A 1,614-nucleotide genomic window follows, 5' to 3' on the forward strand; every position below is an offset into this window, starting at 1 on the left:
CATTTATTTCAATTTTTAAATTATTGATTTATACATGATTTTTATGCCCCTATCATTATATGAACATTTATATAATTAGTGCTGATAACCAATATGCAATTTCATTTCTTTCTCTGAGATAGCTTTCATTACATTTACTTTTCACTTCAGAATCTGGCATTCCAGTCTTCTTGAAGCTTAATTCTTTTATTGAAATTTAGTTATAGATATCCCATGATATTCTCTCCCTGGAAGTTGGTATTATAAGCTTGTTATTGTTTGTTTAAAGTTGGCTATAGAAGGATATTCTTCCCCAGTTTGTCTTTAGAGGTTAGAGCTTATCAATTTTTTTTTTTAAGAAATTTGGGGAGGTTGTTTCACTTGTGATCGTCAAAAGTTCTGAGTTTCTTTTGTTGTTGTTGTTGTTTTTGTTTTTGTTTGTTTGTTTGTTTTTGAGACAGTCTCGTTCTGTCGACCAGGCTGGAGTGCAGTGGCACGATCTCGGCTCACTGTAACCTCCACCTCCCGGGCTCAAGCAATTCTCCTGCCTCAGCCTCCTGAGTAGCTGGGATTCCAGGTGTGTGCAAGTTCTGAGTTCTTTAAAGCTTTTTAAAAAGGATTTTCTAAATGTTTTTCTCTTAGGAGATTTAGAAATTTTATCTATATTTCATTGCATTGCAATTACATCTGTGTCCTGAAACATTGGTTATTCTTCCGGGTTTTGATGGTTACTAGATGAGTGTGTGTGTGTGTGTGTGTGTGTGTGTGTGTGTGTGTGTGTGTGTTATGAACAATGCTAGATTATTGGGGAAAATCAGAATAATTTGAATGCCATCACACTATCCACAGGAAAGGCATATTTGTTTATACAAAATTGTCACAAAGAGAAACGAGAAAATCTTTTGTGATCATGCAGGACCAGAAAGTGATAAAAATATATGGTTCTGTAGAAATAAATGTTTAGCTGGAAAGAAATTGGCAGTTTTCTTCTTTGTATTTGCTACCAAATTTCTTCAACCTTAAAGTTTTACAAAATTGTTGATACACAGGAAGAAATGAGAAAAGAGAATATAGGAGAATTTATTTTAGCCAGTGAGAAATTTTAGAATTTGGTGGATATAATGTATAATATAACTATAAATTCAAAACTGTACTTGTCTGTGATATCATTAGTAGAATCTTTTAGAAATCAGGATTTTAAAAATATTAATATTTGTAAAATTAACATTGACACTTAATACAAAACATACATTACCTTGTTATGTTGCTGCATATCCAGAGTGTAAACTAATGATGAAAATCATAATAATGATCACAATCATGCTAACAGAAAATAACATTTGTTGGGTTCTTACTCTTTAACATATTACCTACCGTTTCTCATTGAGTTTTGTGGAGATAGTATGCTCAATGATTTTACTAGATAAGAAAACATTACATCACATATCTCATACAATTTCTTACTGTTAAAATTAAGTATGATGACTAAAGTAATTATAAAATTCTGTTCTCAAATGCACATTATTCACACACACAATATTTCTTTTGTTTGTTTGTTTGTTTTTGTTTTTGTTTTTGTTTTGCGACAGAGTCTTGCTCTGTCTCCCAGGCTGGAGTGCAGTGGCCTGATCTCAG

Source organism: Homo sapiens, chromosome 7 (genome assembly GCF_000001405.40).
Source record: "Homo sapiens chromosome 7, GRCh38.p14 Primary Assembly".
Lineage (NCBI taxonomy): Eukaryota > Metazoa > Chordata > Mammalia > Primates > Hominidae > Homo > Homo sapiens.